A 25,256-nucleotide genomic window follows, 5' to 3' on the forward strand; every position below is an offset into this window, starting at 1 on the left:
TGTGATACTACAAACTGTCCAGGCCCTTCCGTTGGTGAGGACCAGGGCACAGACTCCAGGGCTGGGGGGTGGCTGCTGGGCCTGTGCAGGAGGCGGCCAGCTGGGACTGGAGGGCCTGGGCTTCCAGGGAGAAACAAATGTTTCCAGGCCCCAGAGCTTTCACCTGAGCTGGCCTTGTCCATCTCATCCCACCCCACCCTCCATCATCTCCCAACTCCTGAGGCTTTCCAGCTCTGCTCACTGGTGTAGCCCCCCCGCACCCTAGGTCACCACTAATGGCAGGTAAGGCTGCTCTCAGAACCCACACCCACACCCTATTAATACCCGTCTGCATCCGGCCAGCCTGAGATGGCCAGAGCTCCCGATCATCCAGCCCTGCAGAGTCACCTGGGTTTATTTTTACTTCTGTTTGCTTCTGAAAATGCGTGTGGATTTCCAGAAATGACCCCCGCCTCCTACCCCACTTCCCGCAGCCTGCTCTGGAAGTCAGTCTAGCTCCCTTCCAGCCCTCCCCTAGGGGCTTCTTCGCTGGGACAAAAGGCCAAGTGCTTTCAGTCCCCCTCCCAGAATGTGGGTCCATCTGAGCTGAAGGTGTCCTCAAAAACAGCAGGCCTGGAGTGAGGCACATAGCTGGGTGCGGTGTGGGAGCCTAATCTTACCAGGCTTTGGGATGGGAGTAGGGGGCAGGAAGTCAGGGAGTGGGGCCCGGTGGCTCAGAAGCTTCCCCAGGAGCTGGCTGAGCGGTGGCCATCATACACGTTCAGAGCCAGAACTCAGGGGACCTGCACACCTCAAGGGACTGGGTGCCGCCTCTGTGCAGCTCTGAGGGTGTCAGGATGGGGCTTGAGGGCCTCCCCTCCCTGGCCTTTCGCTGCCTGAGACAACCATTGCAGTTTGTCCTTTTGGCTTTTGAGGCCGTGATGATCTTCCAGAAGCCCTCCTCCATCCCTCCAGGGACCCACCAATGGCCTGGGAGGGTATCTGTTTTGCAGCAACTCTGGAGTCCAGGTTAGAACATGAGAAATGGCTTGGGAGCACTGGTGAGGAATAGGAGGAAGCCTCCTGGGAAGGACTGGGTACACGGAGCAGCCTTGGCTGGTCCAGTGAGGGGGAGTCTGAGGGCACAGCAGGCTCTGCCAGCCCGGGCCAGATATCTGAGGAGACCTGGCAGGGGCCACATCTGCTCTCAGCCTCCTCTCTGAAGGAGAGGTGACCAGCAGGGACTAGAGGGCCCTGCCAGATTCTAGGCAGGGCTGTATCTCCCCTTATCCTGGGGCTCCGTGAGGACAGAGCTGTGTCTCCCCTCAGGTTGGGCTCTCTGAGCCTAAGCCAAGACTAGAACCAAACACAGCCCAGAGCTCTTCTCTGTACTCTGAGCTCACCACAGAAAGGAGGGAGGGGCTGAGGTGGCCCACATTTACTGGGTGCCTATTTCACGCCAGACCTTACTCTAAGCCTTTTATGCACATTCCTGCATTGAATTCTCAAACACTATCAGGCAGGTATCATTAACTCATTTGTTTTTTAGCAGCAGAGGCCCAGAGAGGTTAAGAAATTCACCTGGGGTCACACAGCTAGTAGGTGGGAGAACAGCATTAGAACCTAAGTGGTCCGGCCCCAAGCTCACGGCCTCAGCCCTCTGTTAAAGCACCCAGGTAGCCATCCCTAGCAGGTGGAATGGATGCAGGAAATGGAGAGGGGAGGGAAGGAGTGCCCCATAGCAGTAGCTTGTGCTCTAGCCTGTGGGTCTCCCTGCCCACATACCCACTCACCAGCACCCACCTCTCTGGATCCCAGGGTGGGGTCAGGCTCGCCTGGGAAGGTCTCCAGCAGGACAGGACCCGTGGCTTTGCCCACACCTGCATGGCTCCCGGTGCCCACCCTGCTGCCACCTGCCCTCACCTGATGTCATCCTCGTTGGCAAAGATGATGACTGCCCTGGCGTTCGAAGTCTCCAGGAGGCGGCGGATGATCTTGTCGAACTCGCCTGCCTTGGGCTCCCGTGGTATCTTCACCGACTGGGCGATGCACACGCCCCCTGCAGGAGGGGCACCAGTTAGTTGGGGTGGGCAGGGGAACCTGAGTCTCCCCACCACTCTCCCAACATACACTCCGGGAGATGGGGGCTGGGTGCTGCCCAGGCTCCCCAGCCTGACTCCCAGCCCTGGGATCCCAGCCTCTGGATATGGGCTGTGCAGTCAGGACAGCTTCAGTGCCAGTCTTGGCTCCACTTACCAGCTGGTGACCCTGGATATGTCACTTAAGTACTCTGAGCCTCAGTTTCCCCATATAGCAGCTAGAAGCAGCACGGCATCATGCTTAGGAGCTAGACTGCCTGGGTTCAAATCTCAGCTCTGCCACTTACTGCTGTGTGACCTTAGGTCAGTTACTGGACCTCTCTGTGATGAACATACATCACCTATAAAGTGGAAATAATGGTATTACCTATTTCATAGAACTGTTATAAAACAAGTGAGGTAATGCATATAAAGACAACATCCGGTACCTAGTGCTTAGTAAATGTTGATTATTTTTATTGTAACCCGCTCACAATGTTTCTTGGAGGGTTAAAGCTGGGAATAGAGCCCACCCTGAGGCATCAGTCCCTGCTACACCCATATCCATGTGCTTCTCAGGACTCCTGTCCCTGGGCCCCATGCCCATCACCAGGCCCTTGGTAGGAGCAGCGTGCATGGCCACTGGCTGGAACCATCAGGAGAGGGTCAGTACTTGATGTTGTCAGGATTCACGACCAGGCTGGGTGGCCATCAGAGACCCTGGGAGCACTTTGTCCCAGCCATCCCCAGCCCCAGATGTGCCTCTCAAGTGCTGGCAGGGGACAGATGTCATTCACGTATTTAAATCTCACCCGACCTCGTGGTACAGAGCATCTGTGGGCCATGCTTGTGTCAGCCACTGCCTTTGACGGATGAGGAAACTGAAGCTCAGAGAAGAGAAGTGGCTTACCCAAAGCCACACAGTTACCTGCCCTACTGGAGTCCAGGAGCTGGAGACCCCCAGAGAATAAGACCCCAGAAGCCCCTGGTGGCAGTCGATGGAAAAGCATGAGGGATTAATCTTGAAGCCGGTCTTGGTATCTAAGGGCTGCCCTCCTCTGGGTCCCACTCAACTCAACACAATGCCTCAAACCAAACACCTAGGCTGGGCACCGCTGGGCTTCCAAATGACCTGGAGGTCCAGGCTGGGGCCACCTGAGCCTTCTACACAGACTTGCCCCATTACATCAGAAAACTCTGGGTGGAGCTGCCAGGGGCTCAGAGTGCCGGGGACACGACTACCACCAGCCCCACAGGGCAGTGCCAGCACCCAGCTCCACCCATGGAGGGGTCCCTACCTGTGGGCAGGGAGATGGCCGCCAGGGAAGGCTGCCCAAAGGCAGTGACACTGGGCTGAGTCCTCAGAGGATGCAAGTGGCCAGGCGGCAGGCATTCTGGAGAGAACAGGGTACGCTCTGGAAGGAGTGGCTGCTCTGTGCCAGGCACCCTGCTGGCCTGGGGCCACAGGACACAACACACACACACGCATGCACACACACGCACATGTGCGTGCACACACACACACAGCTCCTCAGGTCTCTCCTAAGACACCAAGAAGTCCCAAGTGCTAGAGAAGAGCATGTTTACTAGGAGCTCATGGGGAGGGGGGAGAAGGAGCAAGGTGCTTGGGCAGGACTGGGGCCCCTGTCAGTCTGGGGTCACAGAGGGAGCCAAGGGAGGCAGCCACTGGCTGCACCACTGGCCGGGCCGGCTCTCAGTTCCCAGCTAAACCCTCCATATGGTTTCTTTCCACTTAGAAAGTGGGCCAATTGCGACATTCCTCCCCCCATCTGGGGAGACAGATGGACAGAGGAAGAGGCTGGACTGGGAGGAGAGGGAAGGGAAGGATGAGCCACCTGGCTCCAGGAGCGGGAAGGAAGGCAGGAGAAGGGAGTTAATTGCTCTCAAACAGGGAGAAACTGTTAGGTTAAGTCATATTTCTGAGATGCTCCTCTAAGAGGATCCGCGTGATGGTCTTGCCTGGCACCTCAGGGCATATCTTGCAAGCTTCGTTTTGCTGGTGAAGGAAGGATTAGGTGACCACGGCTCAGTCAGCGGGAGTGTGAGTGAGCCACAAGCAACTTGAGATGCAAGTGCAGTCTGAGGAGGGTTTGATATTCTTGCAACTGCAAGAGATTCAGACCAGAAGGGAGTGCGGGGGGCGGGGGTGTGCAGAGCTCCGTAATACTAATGAACATTTATGGAGTGTCCAATGCATGGGAAATGCTATTCTGCAAATTTTACATGGATTCACTCATCTGAGGCCAGTGTAATCACCATATCTCCAATTTATAAATGAAGAAATTGAGGCACAGAGAGGTTAAGTAGCTTCCCCAGGATCACAAAGATAGTCAGGGGAAGAGGTGGGGTTTGAACTTGGGCCATCTGGCTCCAGCGGCCACCTTTCATCCAGTCATGTAGTGAATGGATAGGATTGTGGAGTTGAGGGGGCTTGTGGGCCCATGGGCATGATGGGGCATGGTGCCCATGCTGGGGTGAGTGCCCACTGGTGTTGCTGCCCCCAGGATGAGAAACCAAGTGCCCGTGGGTTCCCTCTGTTTCACAGCCCTATTGTCAGCATGTCCGCTCAGGGGAGTGGGTAAAGGAACTGGCTCACAAGCCAGGCCCTCTCCTGGGATGACACAAGCTCCTGGCAGTGGCACAATCTCTGCCTCAACTGCTCTCTTGGTGCCTGCTGCAGCCAGAGAAGACCAGAGCGGCCCGAGAGGCCACTGAGCACCCCCTGCATGCCTGGCACCATGCGAGGCCCAGTCTCAATGAATCCTTACACATTAGCCGGTGCTAATATCCCCATCTCACAGATGAGGAAACTGAGGCTCAGGTTGCTAAATAGCCTAACCAAGGTCACACAGCCAGTCAGTGGGACTGCAATCCTGGTCTGTGTCCAGAGCCTCCCTGAGGCGGAGAGGCCCCCATTTCCTGCAGCCGCTCCTGGACAGTTCCCTTTCCTTGCAAAGCAATGACTCCGCAGCAGCCACTGAGAATAAAGGGGCAGTGTTTCATGTGCCGGAGCCTCTTCTGCAGCCCCTGTTGTTTAGGTGGGTTCATGTACATGTGTGCACACATGTGTCCACACACAGTCACAGAATGCACGCACTGGCACAGATCAACATCCACCATCACCACAGCCCACCCTGTGCATTCCAGGCCACGCTGCTACAGACCCAAAGTCACACCAAGCCCACCAGCCATCCCTGTGCCCAGCCCCTGGGCCACACGACTAACACTCCCGCAGACGCCTGCTTCTAACCTCTCCCCTAGGGAGGGGCACGCCTCCTCACCCTGTGCCCCAAGTCTCTCTCGTTGAATAAAGTAAGAATCCATGGGTCCATACTGAGAGTAGATAGAATCAAATGAAAGCCCACAAAGCCCTCAGGGAACAAGCCCACTCCGTATCTCAGGGCAGAGGCTGGAGCCCTCCACTCCCCAGGCTCCAGGCACAGGACCATACGGGGAGGGGGACACACATGAAGAAGTCTGGGGGTCCCCATGGCCTCCTTGGCTTTCCTGGGTCTCCCTTGGCAAGCCCCTGCCCAGCCTCCTGCCAGGACCCCAGCCGCCCAGGCTCCTGACAAACACCCGAATGCCACTTGCCAGCTGCAAGCTCTGCCATCCCGGCCAAGCTGGTGCGTCTGCTCGCCGGCCAGGGGCAGGAAGCCACAGCCTCTTGCCAAGAAAATCTGAGCATATCAAGTCCGTGGGGACCTTGGAGACCTCCTGGCCCAAGTTGGATGGAGAGTGAGGAGACAGAGGCCAGAGAGGCCTTGCCCAGGGGCACACAGTAGCAGGAGCAGAGCCACCTTCAGACGAGGCTCTCACCACTGCGCTGGGAAGTTTGGGATCCAGGCCAGCCCCTGACTGCTTTCCAGCAGGAACCGCTATCTCTCCCAGCTCTGCGCCTCCTCCCCAGCCCGCCCAGGTTCCACACCTCCCCTCCTCCCTGGGCTACCCCACCCATCAAAACCGACTTATGCTTGGCCCCATCCCTCGGGGCCCGCCTTTACTACAAGACAGCTGGACACCTGATCAAGGCGTGTCCATTGGAACCCTCTGCAGAACCACACGGCAGCGTCTAGTAAAGCTGAACGTGCCGGCTGCCTCCAAGCCAGTGCTTCCCCGTCCACACTCGTCCCCAGGGAAACCCCGGCACGTGGGCACAGGAGACCCACACAGAGTCGCTCAACACAGCACTGTCTGAAACTGCAAAAAAATGGAAACAACCTAAATGTTTTACAACAGAAGAATGAATAAACTGTGGTGTGTTTGCCCAATGGGATATTATGGAGTTAAGATGAATAACAGTTCTCATGTGTCAACATGACAAATCCTGAAATCATAAAATTGACGGACAAAAGCAAGTTGCAGCAGGATTTAGATTTTATGTAAAATCTAAAGACCACATACAATATTTATGAAGATGCATATATATGTACTATACATATATGAGTGAAGGCTGCATGAGGGCGGGAGACTTTGTCCGTTGTTTTCATCACACTCTTCCCCAGTGCCTAGAACACTGCCTGGCCCATAGTAGGTGCTCTCAAGTGTTCGCTGAGTGACTAAACAAGGACAGGAAGGGAACCTGCCACCTCTCAAAATCATGGTTACCTCAAGGGAGAAGAGAGGAACAGGACTGAAGAAGGTTCCGACTCAATCCATGTTTTATTTCTTTAAAAAAATAATCAGAATCAAGCAGATGTGGCAACATGGGACTACTCAGCAAATCTGGGCCACAGAACCCCAGCTGGACAAAACTTTTAGATATGGGTGACAGCAAGGGTGCCGCGGTCCTCACGTGGTGCCGCCTGACAGAGAACACAGCAGGGCACACCAGAGCCTCCTTGTGTTCATCTGTGAAATGGGCTGCATAGCCGCAGCTAGCCCAGGGGCTTCCATAGGGAAGCTGCCTGCCTTCCTCCACCTTCCTCCATGCCCACCTGCCTGGGGCTGCCCCTGTCCTCCCAGCCGTGTGGTTCCTGAAATCCCATCGTCCCGTGAGAGCAGGCTCTCACCTGGCCAGCCCTCCGCTGGTGTGAGCTGGAACCGTCACCACCCCAGGCTTCAGGCATCCCCACGTGAACATGACATAGACACTTCGTGGATGAAACTTGGTATCAGTTTCCTGTCGTATTTTTCAGTCTCTCCGTCCTTTCCATCTGTGGTCTGGTGACCTTTCCTGGTGGTCTCCAGGCCCAGCTGACATAACTGTGTCAATGTCCACCTCCCGCTGCACTTCCCAAGGTCAGGGTCAGGTCTATGTCCTTTCTTCCTTTCTTCCTCTCTTCCTTCCTCCTTCCTTCGCTCCCTCCCTCCGTCCTTCCCTCCCTCCCTCCGTCCTTCCCTCCCTCCCTCCGTCCTTCCCTCCCTCCGTCCTTCCTTCCCTCCCTCCCTCCGTCCTTCCCTCCCTCCCTCTCTTCCTTCCTTTCTTCCTTCTTTCCTTCCTTCCTCCATCCCTCCCTCCCTTTCTTCCTCCCTCCCTCTGTCCCTTCCTCCCTTCCTTCCTCTCTCCCTCCTTTCCTCCCTCCCTTTCTTCCTCCCTTCATGCCTTCCTCCCTCCCTTCCTCCTTCCTTCCACTGCCCTGCTCAGTTCCTGGTATAGTCAGTCCCTAAGAAATGATATTGAGTAAGACTCCTTCCTCAGGAGCTCTCAGTCTAGCTGGGGAAGCAAGACCAGAAGGAAAAGCCATCATCCTGAGCAGAAGCACAAGGAGACAGTGCTCCGGGTCAGCCTGAGCATGCAGGTGGCAGAGGAAGGGCCCCCTGGAGCCACACCCCCACCGCACAACCCCTAAGCACCATTCTTCAGCAGCCCACATTTACTGAGCATCTGCAGGCACATCTTCAGGGAAGTACAGGCCCCTCTCACATCACCTGCCTGCCTGCTGCCACCACTTTCCCTTCGTGGAGCCCGCAGACGTGTACTGAGCGCCTCCTATGTGCCAGGCATGGCGTGAGACACTGGGATGCAGCCATGCAGAGGACAGAAGCCCGGCGCCATGCAGCCTGCGTCCCAGGGTGGGAAGGAACCGTAAACATCCTGGAATCGGTGCAGAGGAGGACAGCAGCAGCATGACGTGCTGGAGGGAGACGGGGGGGCTGCATCCCCTCAGCCCACCTGGATTCACCCTGGAGAACAGGGAGGCTTGGGCTGGGCCACGCAGCTGGAGAGGCAGAGGCTGGATCTGAACTCGGGTCTGACTATTCTCTAGGAGCTGCTGCCTTGCCCGAGACCCCAGGAATTGAGAACACTCTGGACTTGTAAATCCCACTTACCTTCAAGTGAGGCGGGACGTGCTGCTAAATGAATTCACATTTCTGTCCTGCACGACCTGGGGTTGTCTGAGCCTGAGGTGAGCTTAGGTTTACAGGAGGTCTGACCGTGGCAGGACCCTCTGAGCCCCCACTGTGCCTGGGATGCTCTCCTTGCAGCACTTCCCCATCCTCCCTGGCATGGCTCTCCCCACCCCACCTGTCTCAAAAAGTCCCCCCTCCATCCTGCAAGGCCAGCCCTCCAGCAGCCTCCAGATCACCTGCCTTCAAAGACCCATCCCCCCGCACCACCACTTGTGGGATGTGCCTATCTCATGCAGTCAGCCTGGGCGGGCTGAAAGGAAAGGCCTCCCGTAAGAGGAGCCGGCTTGTGCCCTGCCTCACCCACTCCCTGCTGTGGGGAGACAGTCAGGGGTCCCCCAGGCTGTCACCTTGGACACTGGGCTCCAGACAAGGAAGGAGAAAAATCCTCCTCCAGACCCCTGAGCCAGCTCGCTCTGGTGGTCTCCAGGCCCGGCCTCTCGGGGCCCAGCCAGCTGGTCCTGAGGCCAGCAGAGACATAGGCACATCCTCGCTTTCTCCCTTCCTTTAAAAAGAATTTTTTTTTAATTTAAAAAGAGAGGAAAATAATGAAAAGACAAACCCTAGGAATTCAAGTGGAAAAATCTACCTTATGGCAAAATGTGAAGGCAGCAATTTCCAGTGGGGTAGGGGGTGGGGAGTTACACACAGGGACAGGGGCAGGAGAGCAGGTCCCCCCGGCTCCCATAGGGGAGGACAGAGGGGAGGACAGGGGCTGGAAGCTACCCCTGGACCCTCATGGGCGTATACACACACACACACACACACACACACACACACACACACGCACGCACACACGGCTCCTTCCTTCTGACTTCCAAAGCCAGGCCCTTCCCCAAAACAGCTCTCAGGAAGGGGACCAGAAATAGCTGCTCAGAGGGCTTGGTGACTGGTGACTGCTACTTTTATTTTCAGCTGGGGGCGAAGCCTGAATGTAAATAATGGAGCCCAGGCAGCAGTGTTGTGGCCAGAGGGGGTTTCAAGGTAAGAAGGACACCAGGCCCCAGCAAAGGCCCTCCCCATGCGGCTGCTCCAGAGTGAGCTGGGTGCGGGACACACGAGGGCTGGGCTGGCTCCAGCTGGATCTGGGACTGCACAGAGGGCCAGGCCTAGTTCCCGTCACCTGTCACCCCTGCCCCATCTGCTCCTGCGTGTGACCCCGCTCCCCAGCTCATCAGTCTCCAGCCCCTCAACACACTCCCGGCTTTACAACCCTTGGCAGCCCCCAGTGTGTGTGTGTGTGTGTGTGTGTGTGTGTGTGTGTGTGTGACCCTGAGCGCCTGCCTCTTCTCCCAGGAGGGTCTCCCTGATGCACCCAGTGAATTTGGATTTACTGCAACATCCAGGACTGCCCCAGTCCCCACCAGGATCCACCCATCTGGCCACGTCTGTGCCCCCAACAGGCCTCTGCACATGCTGCTCCCTCTGCCAGGAGCACCCCCACCTCAGCTGCTCAGCCACCCTCTAGCTCCCCACCCAGTTCTTCCCTGGCTGGACTGCATTTATCTCCCTGGGGTCTTTCTGCCTGGGGCCTTACAGAGCCCAGGACACGTGCGGGGCCTGCCCAGGACGGCGGTAATCCACACTTGCTGGACGAATGGAGAACTGAGTTCCTGACTGACGGGGTTTTGAAGGGACAGCTCGGCAGGAGCTGCCAGCATGGGCGTGAGGGCAGAGGCTCTGTAGGAGTTGGAGGTGAACACTCGCACCTGCTCACACGCTCCCATCCCCTCGGTGACCTCCCCTCTGAGCTGCCACCTCCTTACATGCACAGCCACTGGACACCCCATTTGAGCCTGGCATCTACTTTGCTCTGGTCCACAGTGATACTCTGTGCTCAGCGTCCACACGCGTGGGGTGGGTACCCACGTGCACCTGGACGTCTCCCTCCGTCCTGCCTTCTGCTGGGATTTTACTTTCTCCACCAAGACATCAATTCCTTATCATGAGTGCTCAGGAAATCGGCCTGCAAAGGATGAGCAAGTGAAGAAAGGTGCATGCTGGCTGTGCAAAGGCACCGGGTCACAAGGGCCCTGCCTGAAGACAGGTGACTCAGTTGATAGTTTAAACTCCACCCGATAGGGCTAGTGTGAGGGCCCAGTGTAGTGGTGTTTGTGCAGGTCTGCCCCCTGGAGCCAACACCTCTGGGGAGCGGGTAAGGCCTAGTGGGGTGGGGCTGCTGAGGCAGGAGGGCAGGAGCTCGGAGGACAGGGGCCTCATCACTTAGCCAGGCCAGGACCCAGGACCCAGGGCTGGGGAGGTCTACAGCTGGGCGGGGGGACCAGGGCACCAGGATTATCCAAGGCAGCACACACATCCTTTCCCTCCTGAAGGCTCTCAGCACCCCCACCACACCCCCGCCACACCCCCAGCCACACACACACACACACACACACACACGGCAATGCACACCCTTACAAAATCACATACTACACACCACCACAAGCTCACAAAGTTTCACGGTCACACACGCTCACCAGGGACACAGCTCCCATCACACTTATGGACCCACTAAGAACCTCGTACAGCCTCATAGCCACAAAGATGGGCACAGGGCCATACGCACACACTGACAGAGTCACAGATCCCATAGTCCCACAGCCACACAGGCTCACCCAGTCATCACACAGCCTCGCACAAACACACACACTACACCCAATCCCATCACATCCTCCACATACACACCCACAAACCCGGGCACGCAAGTCATGTAAATCCCCAACCTCACACATATTTGCATCCAATTATAATTTCAGACAACCCCTAGCCACACACAGACACACACCTATACATCACCACACAGATACACACCACACATACCCACACATCACCACACACATACACACACATCACCACAGAGATACACACCACACACACACATCACCACAGAGATACACACCACACACACACATCACACAGATAAACACCGCACCACACACACACATCACCACACACATACACACCACACACATCACATGGATAAACACCACACAGACACACACATCACCACACAGATACACACCACACACACACATCACCACAGAGATACACACCACAAACACACACACATCACCACACACATACACACCACACATACCCACACATCACCACACGGATACACACCATACACACATCACACAGATAAACACCACACACACACACACATCACCACACAGATACATACCACACACACCCATACATCACCACACAGATACACACCACACACACCCATTCATCAGCACACAGACGCACACCACACACAATCACCACACACCACACAGATACACACCATGCACACACATCACCACACAGATATAAACCACACACAACCATACATCACCACACAGATATACAGCACACATAGACACACAATCACCACTCACCACACAGATACACACCACACACAGACAGCACCACACAGATACAAACCACACACACAACCATACATCAACACACAGCTACACAGCACACACAGACACACAATCACCACACACCACACAGATACACAGCACACACAGACACACACATATCACCACACAGATACACACCACACACACACTCCCACACATCACCACAAAAATACACACCACACAGAGACACACACACCTATCACCACAGATACATGCCACACACACACCCATACATCACCACAGATACCACACACAGACACACAATCACCACCCACCACAGATACACACCACACATAGACACACATCACCACACAGATACACACCACACACACCCATACATCACCACACAGATACACACCACACACAGACACACAATCACCACAAACCACACAGATGCACACCACACACACATCACACAGATACACAGCACACACAGACACACGATCACCACACATCACACAGATACCACACACACATCACACAGATACACACCACACACACATCACCACATGGATGCACACCACACACACATCCTTACATCACCACACAGATACACAGCACACACACACACACCCTTACATCACCACACAGATACACAGCACACACACACTCACCACACGCCACACACATACCACCATACAGATACACACCCACACACATCACACAGATACAAACCACACACACACATCACCACATAGATACCCCACACACAGACTCACACATCACCACACAGATACACAACACACACACATATCACACAGATACAGACCACACACACACACACACACATCACCGCATAGATACACACCACACACACACACATCACCACATAGATACACACCACACACACACACATCACCATACAGATACGCACCACACACACATATCACCACAGATTACACACCACACCCACACAATCACCACACACCACACAGATACACACCACACACAGACCCAAACACATCACCACACATATACACACCACACACAACCACACATCACCACACAGATACACACCACACACACAATCACCACACAGATGCACACCCACACATCATCACACAGATACCACACACACATCACCACACAGATACATACACACAATCACCACACAGATACACACCACACACATGCATCACCACACAGATACATACCACACACACACATCACACAGATACACACCACACACACACATCACCACAGATACACACCACACACACACATCACCACACAGATACACACCACACACATGACCATACAGATACACACCACACACACACATCACCACACAGATACACACCACACACACACACACACATCACCACAGACACACACCCACACACCACCACACAAATACACATTACACAAACACCCACACATCACACAAACACACATCACCAAATACATGCCACACACACACATCACCACATAGATACCACGTCACCACACAGATACCACACACACATCCACACATCACCACACAGATACACACCACACACACACACTCACACTTCACCAGATTCACACCCCCACACAGATAACACCATACACATCACTACACACAGATACACACACAGTCACATACACACCACACACACACACACACCATCATACCACACACAGAAACACATCCACACATCACCATACACAGTCAGATACGCACCACACACAAATACACATAACCACACACAGAGTCACAAATACACCACACACAGACACAGGTAACCCTGGACAGTCACATATAACAAGCCTGCCTGACCATGGCCAACCCTGCTCCATTAAGCACAAGCAGGCGGTGCCCACCGTGAAGCATCCACACCCCCACCCTCACACTGCCTGGTGGCTCTCACACAGTCACCGCACGTGAACAAAGCACCCCTCCAGCCCATCTCTTCTTAACTGAGAAACGCCTCCTTGCTGAGTCTCCCCAGTGAATGCCCCAATTAGCCTGAATCCTTTCCCACGGAGGCCCTGCGAGGCCCTAGCATGCACCAGGGGCTGGCAGAAGCTCACACCCCTCACACTGCTTGGGGGCCCAGCCACACCTCAGCACCATTAGCACCTCCTCCCTTGGCCTGGTCCTCACTGGCTGGGGTGACCATGGAGGGGCCTATGGTCCAGCAACTGGATGGAGGGGATGGCACGGCTATTCATGGAGCGGCTCTGTGGCCAGAACATTAAGGCAAAGCCCTCCTCTTGCCTCTGAAACCCCACCTCTGCCACCAGGCTCTCCATTCCTGCCCATCCCTTCCCCTGCCAGGAGAACGGGGCTGGATCTCGAGGTGCAGGGGCGCCGATGGGGAAGAAGAGGGGGACACAGACATACGACAGCCAGACTAGTGTGATATGAGGAAGCGGAGTCTGGGCACAGACAGGGGCATGTCCCATCTCAACCACCTACTGCTTCGTGATGAAAGCCACGTTGCCCACTCTCCAACCCTCCATTTCCCCATCTGTGAAATGGGATGGTATGAACCCTGTCCCCGAGACATAGCAGGGTTGCGGTGAGGATTAGAGCGGATTGCCCGTGGACAGGGTCAGCCCCTAGGGGATATTTTGGGGTGTGGAGGAGGATGCAGGCCTTGGAGGACCTGCCAGGGCAGCTGTGAGGCTCAACATCTCAGAGCTGAGCCCTTCCGCCCCCTACCAGGAGGCTGCTGGGCAGCGCAGGCAGTGTGGCTCAGAGCTGAGCCCTGCCGTCCCCTGCCAGGAGAGGAGGCTGCTGGGCGGCGCAGGCAGTGTGGCTCAGAGCTGAGCCCTGCCGTCCCCTGCCAGGAGAGGAGGCCGCTGGGCAGCGCAAGCAGTGTGGCTCACAGCTGCATTATTCATGGCGCTAGGCTCTGAGCAGAGGGAAATTTGCTGAGTGATCGACTTAATATCTCAACACAAACCCACTTAGGCAAAACACCTTTGAAGCGAGAAAGGCGGAAAAATAATAGAAAAGGGAAGCCGTGGTGTTTGGAGGCAGATGGTGGCAGGAGGGGCCTGGATGGGGCAGGACACAAAGAGATGGCTGGTTCCTGGCCCCCACCAAAAGCCCCCCAGAGGTCCCTACCCCAGGTCAACCCACCCAGGCCCTACTGTCCCCCACCCTCAGTGGCTGTACCCAGCATTCACTGATGAGGGAATCCCACCCATTTCTTGGGTTCAGTTCATGAAGGGAAGGGAGTCTGCTCAAGGCTTGCACAGCGTCAGAGGCCAACCAGGAGCCAGACCCAAGACTGCTGAGTGTGGGACAGGGTCCCTACCGAGGTCATGCCCTGGTCTGACCCGCGGGCAGTGCAGTGGGGCTGTGGCGAGCAGGGCCCTCAGCCTGACTGCATGGCTCTGTCCCCGCCTCAGGCCACGGTCAAGGCCGGGACACTGTGGAGTGTGGCTGAGGATACTGGAGGAGCCACTCACAGGACAAGGCCCCCAAGTTTCTTCCCACCTTCCCCAACTCCAGTGACACCCTGGTGGAGGAGGTCATAAATCGCTTTCCAGTCCTCTCCTCCGCCTCACTTCACCTCTACCACAGCAGGACCACTTTCTCCAACTCAGCCAGAACGTTCCCCTCTAGACCTTTCCCAGTACTGGTCCCTCTGCCAGAAATGCCCTTCTCACGTCTCTATCTGCCCAACCCCATCCAGCCCTAGGGCCCCACTTCTCTGCCTCTTCCCCCATGAAATATCCCAGCCCTTTCCTGCAGTGGAAGCTCATCGTGCCCGTCTGCTCCTCTCCACTGGCACTTGCCATCCTCCACTTTGTGCTGTGGTCAGTTTTGGAACTGGCCTGCTTCAGGTTCAAATCCCAGCTCTGCTACTTCTTAGCTGTGTGACTTTGGACAAGTTCCTTAATCTCTCTGAGCCTTATCTCCACATAACAAAGTGTGAAGAATAAGCAAGTTAATATACATAAGGTGCTTAGAACAGTTCCTGGCACATTAGTGCTCAGGAAGTGTTTATTATTATTATACTCTTATTGTTGGTTTCCTCCATCAGCCCATGAGCCGCTTCAAGGGCAGACTGTGTCTTTCCCATTTCTAACCACCCCGTTTCCATGCTCAACCGACGATAGCGGAAATGAACCTAGTTTCTGACAATGTTGTCTCCCCAGCCTATTCACCCCAGATACCCTGGGAATGGGAGCCAGCGCTGGGCTAGTGGCAGAGACCCTGTGTTGGGGCAGAGAGAGGCATGGGGAAGATGACCTCGTCAGCTCCACTCCATGGCAGGAGCCGAGGCACAGTCAGGCCAGCAGTTGGGCCTGGCCAGGGTTATAGGCCAGCAGCTGGGCATGTGGCTTGGCCAGAGAAGAACAGACAGTGCAGGCTGGGATGAAATATTTAGGAGCCCACATCCCTTGGAAGTGGAAACTGAAAAGCAAAATGAAATGCTGAGATGTAATTACCCAGGCAGGCCAAGCATGTCTCCCTGCCAGAGGCAGGCTCGATGCCCCCTCCCACCCACCCCACCGCCACAAGTAGGCGTTGGGTAATGAAGTCCCCCTGGACCCTTCTCCTGAGCTAGCCCTTGCCCCTCCTCTTCAGGCCAGGCTAGGAGCAAGGGGTGGCAAAGAGCCCGGCTCTGGCTCCCGCAGGCCACTCCTTTTGGTGGCAGAACAGCAAGAAATACAGAAAACCGGGGGGCTGGGTCAAGCCCCAGCACTGGATATAACCAGACAATCCCTTCACTCCACCAAGCTTCCTCAGCTGGAAAATGGGGCTGCTGGCCCACACCGGGGAGGAGGGACCAAGAAGATGGATGTGAGAGCTCCGTCAGCTGGCCTTGGTGGAGGGGGTGGTAACAGGATGCCTTCCCAAAGTGAGCACGGCAGCAGGGACCAGCCTCACCCAGGGCAGCAGGAGAGGCCTTCTTGAGACACAGGCCTGTGGGGACTCAGGTTGGCGAAGCTGATGGACAGATGCTGGGGGCTGGGGCCCAGGGCCCAGATGTGAGCCTTGAGCTGAAGAAGTCCCCACCCCACCCCAGAAAACTTCCCCAGGCTCTTAGCACTGTTGGGAAAAGGCTTGGAGCCTCAACGCTTGGGGGCTTGCTTGGCTAGATGGGGGACATGGGGGGTGGAAGACAGGAACCAGGTAGGGAGGGAAAGGGGATTCCAGGCTTGGATCCTGGGAGCAGCCTTGAGTAGGGTCAGGAGAGCCTTGGGGAGCAAGGGCAAGGGGCAGGGCCTCTTCCTGTATGCTGGAGCTGGAGCTGGGGGAGGGGTGGGTAGCCTCTGCAAGTTTTTCTCAACAGACATTTGGAGTGGGACAGCTTTTCACAGTGTGGGACTGTCCCGTGTTACAGTGCAAGGGACTAGACGCTCAAGTAATTGTGATAATCCAAAGTGCCCCACATATTTCCCCACATGTCCCACATGTCCCCAGAGGTAGGGTGCAGCTGTCCAGAGTTGAAAGCTCCTTTCTGATCTAAACCAGAGAGGGGCCAGGATTTGCCCGAGGCTGACCAGCACATGCCGCTCTCACACATTCTGCCCAGGCCCCTCTCAGGCTGGCTCTGGAGCCCCAGATAGCTCAGCGTCCCTGGGGCAGGTCCAGCCACACCTGGTAGCAGCCAGCTGACCCCTCAGGCCCTAATTCACGGCGCACCTCCACTCCTGTCGACACCATCTTTCCAGACCACAGCCCCACACCTGCCACACAAACCTCAGCCTACCCAGCCTGGCCCTTACAACTTTCCACCAAAACTCTAGTCCCACCTGGTCACTCCCATCCCTCACACCTTCAGTGGCTCTCACCTCCCTCAGGGCCAAGTCCAATCCTCAGCCCTGTCCTGAGGCCCTGCAGGACTGACTTCATCCACCCCCAGCCTCCTCTCCCACCCCCAACTCTAACAGCACCTGCAGTTTCCAACATACATCAGAGCCTTTAGTCAGACTCTTTGCTCTGCCTTTGATGTCTGATTCACCTTCCCAGACTCTTTTCTTCAAGTCAGCTCCATCTGTTCTTAAGGATTCAGCTCGGGCCTCCTCCTCCAGGAAGCCTTTATGGGTATCCCCAAGCTCCTCCTCCCCTGGGCACCTATAACAATCTCAATGTCTCAATCACTGCACTTCGCACAGTGAATGAAAGTTACGGGACTAGATGCCTCTGTGCCCACCAGCCTCTGACTCCAGCAGTGGCCACTGCTGGGCCCTGGATCCACACACTGCCAGGCACAGAGCAGTCACTGTCACTGACTCAGCAACCTCCAGTGCCAGGAGCTGTCCTAGATTCTGTGGGTACAGCCTGGAATAGGACAGATAAGCCTGCCCTCGTGGAGCTGACATCCATCTATGAAGCCAACAATAGGGATGAAAGAATGAACAAATGAATGAACATGCTAGGTGGTTAATTAACTAACATTTGACCTATTGTCCGGAAGGCTCCCGGACCCATCTCCAGCTCCTGTTCCTCTGCGCTTCCTGTCTTCCCCTACTCTCTCCTGCCCACCTTCTGCTTCTTCTCTGTCTCCCCCCAAATACACACTCTCTTCGATCATTGCACAGCCCCTCATGTTCACACAGCACTCCCAGTAGAGTAACCTTTCTACGTGTTGTCTCCTGAGCTCCTTCCAGTCCACCCAGGTCCTAGGTATGATGACCATTTTACAGATAAGGAAACCAAGCCCCACCAGCCAGAGCCCAGTGCTGCGGTCCACACCTTCCCTTCTTCCACCCCGTCTTCTTCCCCACCTCCACCTTTCTATCTCACCGTCCTCTCTGCTTCCTGCCTTCTGGGTTGACCTGACAAGTGGCCTCTGCTCTCTCAGCCTGTTTCCTACCTGTGAAATGGGGTGGGCATGGAGGCTCAGGGAGATGGTCACAGGGCCTCCACTGTCCCCTGTCCCGCACCCCTCCGCAGCCCCTACTGCGTGGCCCTCTGTTCACTCTCCGCCCTCCCTCCCTCCTCTCCTCTTACTTGTCACTTTGTCCTGCTTCCTCTCCTCCCCATATCCCAAGGCCTCCCTGGGGCCCCAAGCCGTCTGCAAGAGTCGTTAGCTTTCCTTCTGGCTCATTAAAAAGCAGAATTTGCATAGAATATCCATATGATCATTCTGTCTACCGCAAAATGGGGCACAGATATAATGGGGCAGCATGTAAGTGAGGGAGAGAGGAAAGGACGGTCACAACGGGAGGCTGAGAGAGGCCCAGGCGCACCCCCAGGTCTGAGGCCTCAGAGGCAGCCCCTCACTCCCTCCAGCTCTCACTAGGCCTTTCTGTTGGCTAATTCCTATCTCTGTAATTCTTACAATAACCAGCAAAGTCGGAATACAGTTGTCCCCATACTACAGGTGGAGAAACCAAGAGCCAGTGAGGAACAGTGGCTCATCCATGGACACAAGGCAAGTCCAGCAGGCCGGGGAAAGCGCTCTCTGCCAGGGCCAGCCCACCCGCCTCACGTCACCTGCTGCTCTTTCAGGAAGGCTGCCCCTCCTTACTCTCAGAAGGCAGGCATGCAGCCAGGACACCCTCCCACCACCCTGAGATAGGACCACCTCCCCTGGAGGTCTCTCCCATCACTGCTCCTCAAGGCAGCCTCCCTTCCCCGACTCCTGCCTGGCCTTCCCATCCCTGCAACAACAGTTTAGCCAGAGACACAAGAGATTTTTGGAGACAACTGCTTCAAACCTCTCGTCCCAGCTTCATCGTTGCATTCAGACCTGCCTTGTCCCAAAAAGAATTTGCAGCAGTGCCCAGAAATAAACATGTATATAGCTAAAAAAGAAACTGGTAACAAAACCAAGGGGAAGAGACTGCACTTCACAGATGAGGCCCCACTCAGCATCCATAAGACTTGCCCAGAAAGGAGCCCTTGGTTGGGCTGGAGCCAACCAGGACTTCCCAGAGCAGCTGACCTTGGGGCAGACTCACCGTCCATGGTATTGAAGCCAGGAGTGCCGTGCCTGGCCCCGCAACCCCTCATCCTCCAGCCCTCTGGCCACAGGCAACCCAGAAGCAAGGCTGGTGGGCCCAGACTTCAAATAAACCCCAAATCTGTCCCTTCTTACCACCCCCACCCTTGGTCCAGGCCATTGTCACCTCTTGCCTGGACTACAGTGGCCTCCACACTGGCCCAGGGCCCCACTCTATTCCCTGCACAACAGCCAGAGGGATCTCGACCCTCCTCTGCTCCTGACCCTCCAACGGCTCCCAGCTCACCCAGAACAAAAGCCAAAGTCCCCACAGGCCCCCCCAGGGCCCCATGCAATTTGCCCTCCTCCGGCCGTATGTCTCCCTGCCTCACTCATTCTGCCCCTGCCTCCTGGTTATTCTCCAAATGCCGGGCAGGCACCACCTCAGGGCCTTTGCACATGCCAGTTCCCCTGCCTGGGGCCCTCTTCCCACAGATCTCCACCTGGCTAATGCCCTCGCTGCAGCTGGGGATCTGCCAAAAGTCACCCCTGCAGAAAGCCAGGGTGAGGACCGAAAGGCCGTCAACCTTGCAGGGAAGAGTCTCCCTTACTTGCCCCTCTCTGTCCACTTACACTGCTTTGTTCCTCTTCAGAGCAGCATCTTTCACAGCTGGTATCTCAAATTATAATTATACAGTGATGTGTTTGCTTATTCACTGGAAGCTCCTCCTGCCCTTTCCCCAAGTGTGAGCCCCACAAGGCCAGGAGCTTCATCTGCTTAGTCCACGGCCGTACCCCAGTGTCCTGGTCCAATGCCTGGCACATAGTCAGTGCTCAATAAATATTCATTCTGCAGATGAATAAATTACTGTGGAGGAAAGGGATGCAAAGGCTGGAGGGCAGAAGGAAAAAAATGGCCACGCCCCTCCTCACCAGCCATACCCCTGGGGCAAGTCTGTGGGATTGGGAGGCCCGGGTCCCACCTTCTGAGTCCCTGAAAGTCCCAGAAGCATGAGGGGAGCCAGCACCAGAGCAGTGGCTGCCAGGGGATTCAGCCCTCCCAGACCACTTTCAGAAAGGGGCCGTCACAGCTCATACTTGGTCACGCAGGAGTCACACGTGACTTGAGGGATCCTGATCCACTTCTCTCTTCTCTCTCTCTCTCTCACACACACACACACATACACACACACATACACATACATATACACACACACACACACACAACCCTTACCATGCCAAGGTCTTCCAAGCCTCAGACCAGGTGGCGAAACCAGGGACCCTTTGAGATTACCCTGCCCCCATCCCTACCTCTTTCCTCCCTAGCCCTAGAACTGCTGGCCTCTGTGGGGCAGGGCCTTCTGAGGCCTGCCCATCTGACAAGCCCACCAATGCTTCCCTGGGGAAGGCCAGATGAAGGGAACCAAATTCTCCACTTAAAAGGAGGACTCAGTCTTCCCACCTTCGAGCTCCAGAGCAAGGGCCAGTTTCGGAGTCATGCAGAACTGGCTACAAAGCCCAGCTCTGCCCTGACAAGCTGGGAGGGCCCAGGCAAGCTCCTGGGCACCCTGGGCTGCAGTCACCTCCTCTAAAGTGGGGACAATGCTCAGGACTTCTGTGCAGGGGCTGAGGCTGGGGCCGGGGAGCAGCATCTGTCATGACAGTTCATGAACATGGCCTCAAAATGTGTGTATTACACACAAGGAGTCTCAGGGGTCTGTACACAGGCCAGGCCAGGCTGGCTGTGTGGCTGGCATGGGAGGCCGAGTCTCTTCAGGCTCAAGGGCTCTGGGAAGAAGGAAGAGGGACCAGGTTGGGGAACATGGAATATCAAGGCAGAAATGTCCGCATGCACCATTCGTGCCCAAATACATGAGCTCACTGAGGAAGGCACACAGTCCCTTTTTGGTCTTAGAAATGAAAAACCGGAGGCTCAGGGAGAAGTGAATCATGTACGGCCATACAGTGGTAGAGGGTGGGGCTGAGAGTGGGACGCAGGCTGCTGGACATCCCCGCCCCAGGGCACTTGGTGGGCCCATGTAGGCCTGAGGTGGGAAGCGCTGGGTGGTGAATGTGAGACAAGGAAGGAAACGGTGGGTTCACAGCGTCCCTCCAGGGATGCAGAGAAAAAGGCAGCTGGGGCTTATCTCAGCCACATCCCCAAGGAGCTCAGAGTGGGGGACTTGGAGTGCCAGGAACCCCACCCCAGCCAGGAAAGCAGGCAGAAGTCCAGGGTCAGCAAACAGGTGAAGACGCTTTCCTGAAGGTCAAGGCCCAAACCCGAGCTGGGGTGAGCAGGGCCGCAGGCTTCACCACTTGCCCTTTAGCCAAGGGAAGAAACTGGAAGGATCCCTGTCCAATGGGAGCCTGCGGGACAGATCCCTGTCCAATGGGAGCCTGCGGGACAGATCCCTGTCCAGTGGGAGCCTGCGGGACAGATCCCTGTCCAGTGGGAGCCTGCGGGACAGATCCCTGTCCAGTGGGAGCCTGGGGGACAGATCCCTGTGTGCTCTGAGTGAAGAGGCTCAGTAAGGAGGAGAAAGAAACAACAGAAGAAAATGAGCTTGAAGAAATGGGATTCCAGTTTAGAGATTTGTCAAATATATCAAAATAAATAAATAAATAAATAAACAGAGGCCAGAGAAGTTAGGGGGCAGACCGCTGTGGAAGTAGCTACTCTGTGGGCTCCCCACTGGGCCCAAGAACAAGACACACAGGAAGCCAGAGACCAACTGTGGTGCTTGACCCTCCATGTGGCAAAGTGAGACAGGAAAGCCACGAGAAGTCAGTGAGGGATGTGAAGACCTGTGTTGTGGGGGACTCAGAGGTCCCCTGATGTGTTGGCTGCATGCTGTCGATAAAGCTGAGGCTCAGAGAGGGAAGGTTACCAGCCTGAAGTCACACAGCCGCCCAGGGACAAGAGCCAGGACCAGAACTCAGCCCGCCTCCCAGCCCAGGGCCCGCTGCCCTGCTCCTATTCTCTGGTTAAGAAGGAAAACAACTAATGCCTTTGAGAGCACCAGTGCTCGGTGCAGTGCCCGGCCCACCCGGCAAGCACCGTATAGGTATTCACGCACTTAACCTCACAACAAGCTGTAAGTGAAGGACTATTACTATCCCTGTTTGACAAAGGTGGAAACTGAGGCACAGAGCCCCTCGGTAACTGTTCAGGGCAGCACAACTCATGATGGCAGAGCCAGATTTGAAGCCAGGCCGTCTGCCCCAGTGTCTGGGCTCTTGGCCACTCTATTCTCCTGCATCACTGGGGAAAAGGACCGGATTCAGAACGCCAAAGCCACAAAGGGGCTGCCACCAGCAAAGGGAATTTTTTCAAACCCCAAAGGAATCTTCAAACACATTCCACAAAGGAGGCTGTGAAAGAAAATGTTGCTTCCTGTCAGGAGGGAAGAGATGCAAATTCAGAGCAAAAAGGGCTCAGCATCTGACGTTTTCCTCCTGTCATTCCCATCAAGCTCAGAGGCGAATGCAGACGGGAGCATGTCCCCGTCTGGACGAGCGCATCAGGCAGAGGGAGCCAGGAAAAGTGGCCGCACTGAAAGAAAAGCAGCAGGCCCGGCGACACCAACCTGGGGACTTACAAAATGCAGAGGTGTCAGGCCCTGCACAGGTCAGAATGGCAGAGGAATCCAAGCCGACAGGCGCAGTCCCGGAGGCGCACCAAACAAGCGCGTGGTTCATCTTCACAACAGAACAGAGACTGACCTGGCAATCATGAGCAGTCACATTAACACCAACACCTTGCCAATCTCCAAGCCCTGGCAAGGAGACCCAGCTGGCGCGTGGTGGGTCTCGTGGCTTGGCAGGGGGCACACGTGCCAGGTCCACTTAATTTCCACCCGCAGCAGAGTGACAGGTGGCGTACAAGGGCAGCGGAAGGCAAGATGGGTCTTGGGTCTAGAAAGCCCTGGTTGATAGGTTAGAATGGGAGGTTCTGGCTGCAGGGTGGGGCCCACTCCCCTGCGTCCTGGGAAAACACAACGTCAGAGGGCAGAGTGCTCAGCCTTGGGCCGCAGGGTCCCTGGGTCCCAGGAGGCAGCTGGTGGAACAGTACAGAGGCCTCCCGCTTTGAAGCTGCTAAAAGTCACCTGATACTTGGATACAAGCTAAAGCCAGCGGCAGCACCCCTGCCTGCTTCTACCCACCTCAAACCCCCGCTCCCTGCTCATTTCAACCATGGGTCATCTGATGAGGTGGGAGGGTTGCATGCTCCAGGCACTGCCACCATGCAATTGGCCCCAATCATTCCTGAACCGAAACGCCAAGCCCTGAGGGGTCACCCCTGACATCCACTCCTTTAGGCCTTGCCGGACGCTTCCTTTCCAGCACTCCTCTGAGAGACACATTCTAAACAAGTAGTTTTCAGTGGGTGTCTGAGGGTGTCTTCAGGATGGGTCCAAATTGTGGGGAACAGGTCTTTGCTCTCATGAAGGATGCCTAGAGCCAAGGCCATGGAGGGCGAGGATGCAGCCTGTCCGTGCCAGCTGGACCTCAGAGGCGGGCTGCTGTACCCACTCCCATCACAGGTGAGAGGAGGAAGCCCAGGGAAGAGGGCTGGTCATCTGCTCACTCACTCTTCACTCTGCAGCGTGTGCTGAGGCCCTGCTATGTGCGAGGGAGGGCAGGGGGCACAGAGCTAGGTGGGGTCCTGTCCCTCCCTGGCCTCAGGAGCCATCAGTGGGGCAGGGGCAGAGGGAAGGGTCAGCAGGCGCTGTAGCCCACCTGAAGGGGCTTCCCAGGGAGCCTGGGGGGGAAAACTCCACCCCCGCCTGCTCCACCAAGGAGCACAGCTCTGTTTGGGACAGGGCAGGTGAGGGGCACCTGCAGGGAGGAGGGGCCTTGGCTCTGAGCCTCAATGGCAAGGGGACCCCTCAGGGCCCTGAGCAAGTTAGGCACGACAAGTGGAGATGGTCAGCCAAGCCAGCGCGACCCCAGCACGACCCCAAGTGCCAAAACATTTCAACATGCGGCATTGGCCTAAAAGAAACTCTCCTCAGCCCCACCTCACATGGCTCCCCACCCCACGGCCACAGGAGCTCCAACCCAGGCCTCTCATCGCTTCCATCTGCCTGTTCATTCACACCTCCAGGCTTTTGTTCCTACTGTTCTCCCACCTGGCGTGCCCTTTCCTTCCTCCTCTTGTCCAAATACACCTCCTCCAAGCCCTGCTTGCCTGCCCAGCCTGGCTAGGCTGGAGCCCCCGCAGTCCTGGGATTTGTGTCTTCACTTCAATGGACACATCACCACATCCCTTTTTTTACTTATTCAGGCGGGCTCTGCTGAGCACCTACTGTGTGCAGGGCAGGTGCTAGGGCTGGCTGTGCATGGCTCCTCTCATGCCCACCAAAAGGGCCTGAGAGCAGGGCCTGCAGCCTGTCTCTGTCTCACGCTGGGGCTGGGAACGTGCCCAGGGAACAGGGCTGGTCGTCTGTTCACTCACACTTCACTCTACAGAGTCATATGCTATGCTGAGGCCCTCTATATGCAAAGGAGGGCAGGGGGCACAGCACAGGGGCGAAATAAATCTAGGAAGTCCCAGCCAACTGGAGACTCAAGCTGGTGGA

The 25,256-nt window shown here is 56.0% G+C and overlaps 1 protein-coding gene across 6 annotated transcripts in view, besides 5 other annotated features; it reads right to left on the reverse strand.

Annotated features, from left to right (window-relative positions):
• The window catches only part of GRM4 (glutamate metabotropic receptor 4), a 136,980-nt gene that overhangs the window by 41,348 nt on the left and 70,376 nt on the right, over positions 1-25,256 (reverse strand). For all 6 annotated transcript variants that reach the window (NM_001256809.3, NM_001282847.2, NM_001256811.3 and 3 more), the window contains one exon: positions 1,903-2,038. In NM_001256809.3, coding sequence (NP_001243738.1) covers positions 1,903-2,038 — 136 coding nt within the window. The remainder of the gene's footprint in view (positions 1-1,902; positions 2,039-25,256) is intronic.
• Positions 3,481-4,062: an enhancer, noted in NCBI's record as "H3K27ac-H3K4me1 hESC enhancer chr6:34031248-34031829 (GRCh37/hg19 assembly coordinates)". NCBI's record gives its function as "activates a minimal SCP1, AML or CMV promoter by ChIP-STARR-seq in primed H9 embryonic stem cells {active_cell/tissue: H9 hESC(primed)}" and the evidence as "EXISTENCE:reporter gene assay evidence [ECO:0000049][PMID:30033119]".
• Positions 17,072-17,902: an enhancer, noted in NCBI's record as "H3K4me1 hESC enhancer chr6:34044839-34045669 (GRCh37/hg19 assembly coordinates)". NCBI's record gives its function as "activates a minimal SCP1, AML or CMV promoter by ChIP-STARR-seq in primed H9 embryonic stem cells {active_cell/tissue: H9 hESC(primed)}" and the evidence as "EXISTENCE:reporter gene assay evidence [ECO:0000049][PMID:30033119]".
• Positions 18,942-19,687: an enhancer, noted in NCBI's record as "H3K4me1 hESC enhancer chr6:34046709-34047454 (GRCh37/hg19 assembly coordinates)". NCBI's record gives its function as "activates a minimal SCP1, AML or CMV promoter by ChIP-STARR-seq in naive H9 embryonic stem cells {active_cell/tissue: H9 hESC(naive)}" and the evidence as "EXISTENCE:reporter gene assay evidence [ECO:0000049][PMID:30033119]".
• Positions 22,372-23,211: an enhancer, noted in NCBI's record as "H3K4me1 hESC enhancer chr6:34050139-34050978 (GRCh37/hg19 assembly coordinates)". NCBI's record gives its function as "activates a minimal SCP1, AML or CMV promoter by ChIP-STARR-seq in naive H9 embryonic stem cells {active_cell/tissue: H9 hESC(naive)}" and the evidence as "EXISTENCE:reporter gene assay evidence [ECO:0000049][PMID:30033119]".
• Positions 23,212-24,051: an enhancer, noted in NCBI's record as "H3K4me1 hESC enhancer chr6:34050979-34051818 (GRCh37/hg19 assembly coordinates)". NCBI's record gives its function as "activates a minimal SCP1, AML or CMV promoter by ChIP-STARR-seq in naive H9 embryonic stem cells {active_cell/tissue: H9 hESC(naive)}" and the evidence as "EXISTENCE:reporter gene assay evidence [ECO:0000049][PMID:30033119]".

Source organism: Homo sapiens, chromosome 6, assembly GCF_000001405.40.
Source record: "Homo sapiens chromosome 6, GRCh38.p14 Primary Assembly".
NCBI lineage: Eukaryota > Metazoa > Chordata > Mammalia > Primates > Hominidae > Homo > Homo sapiens.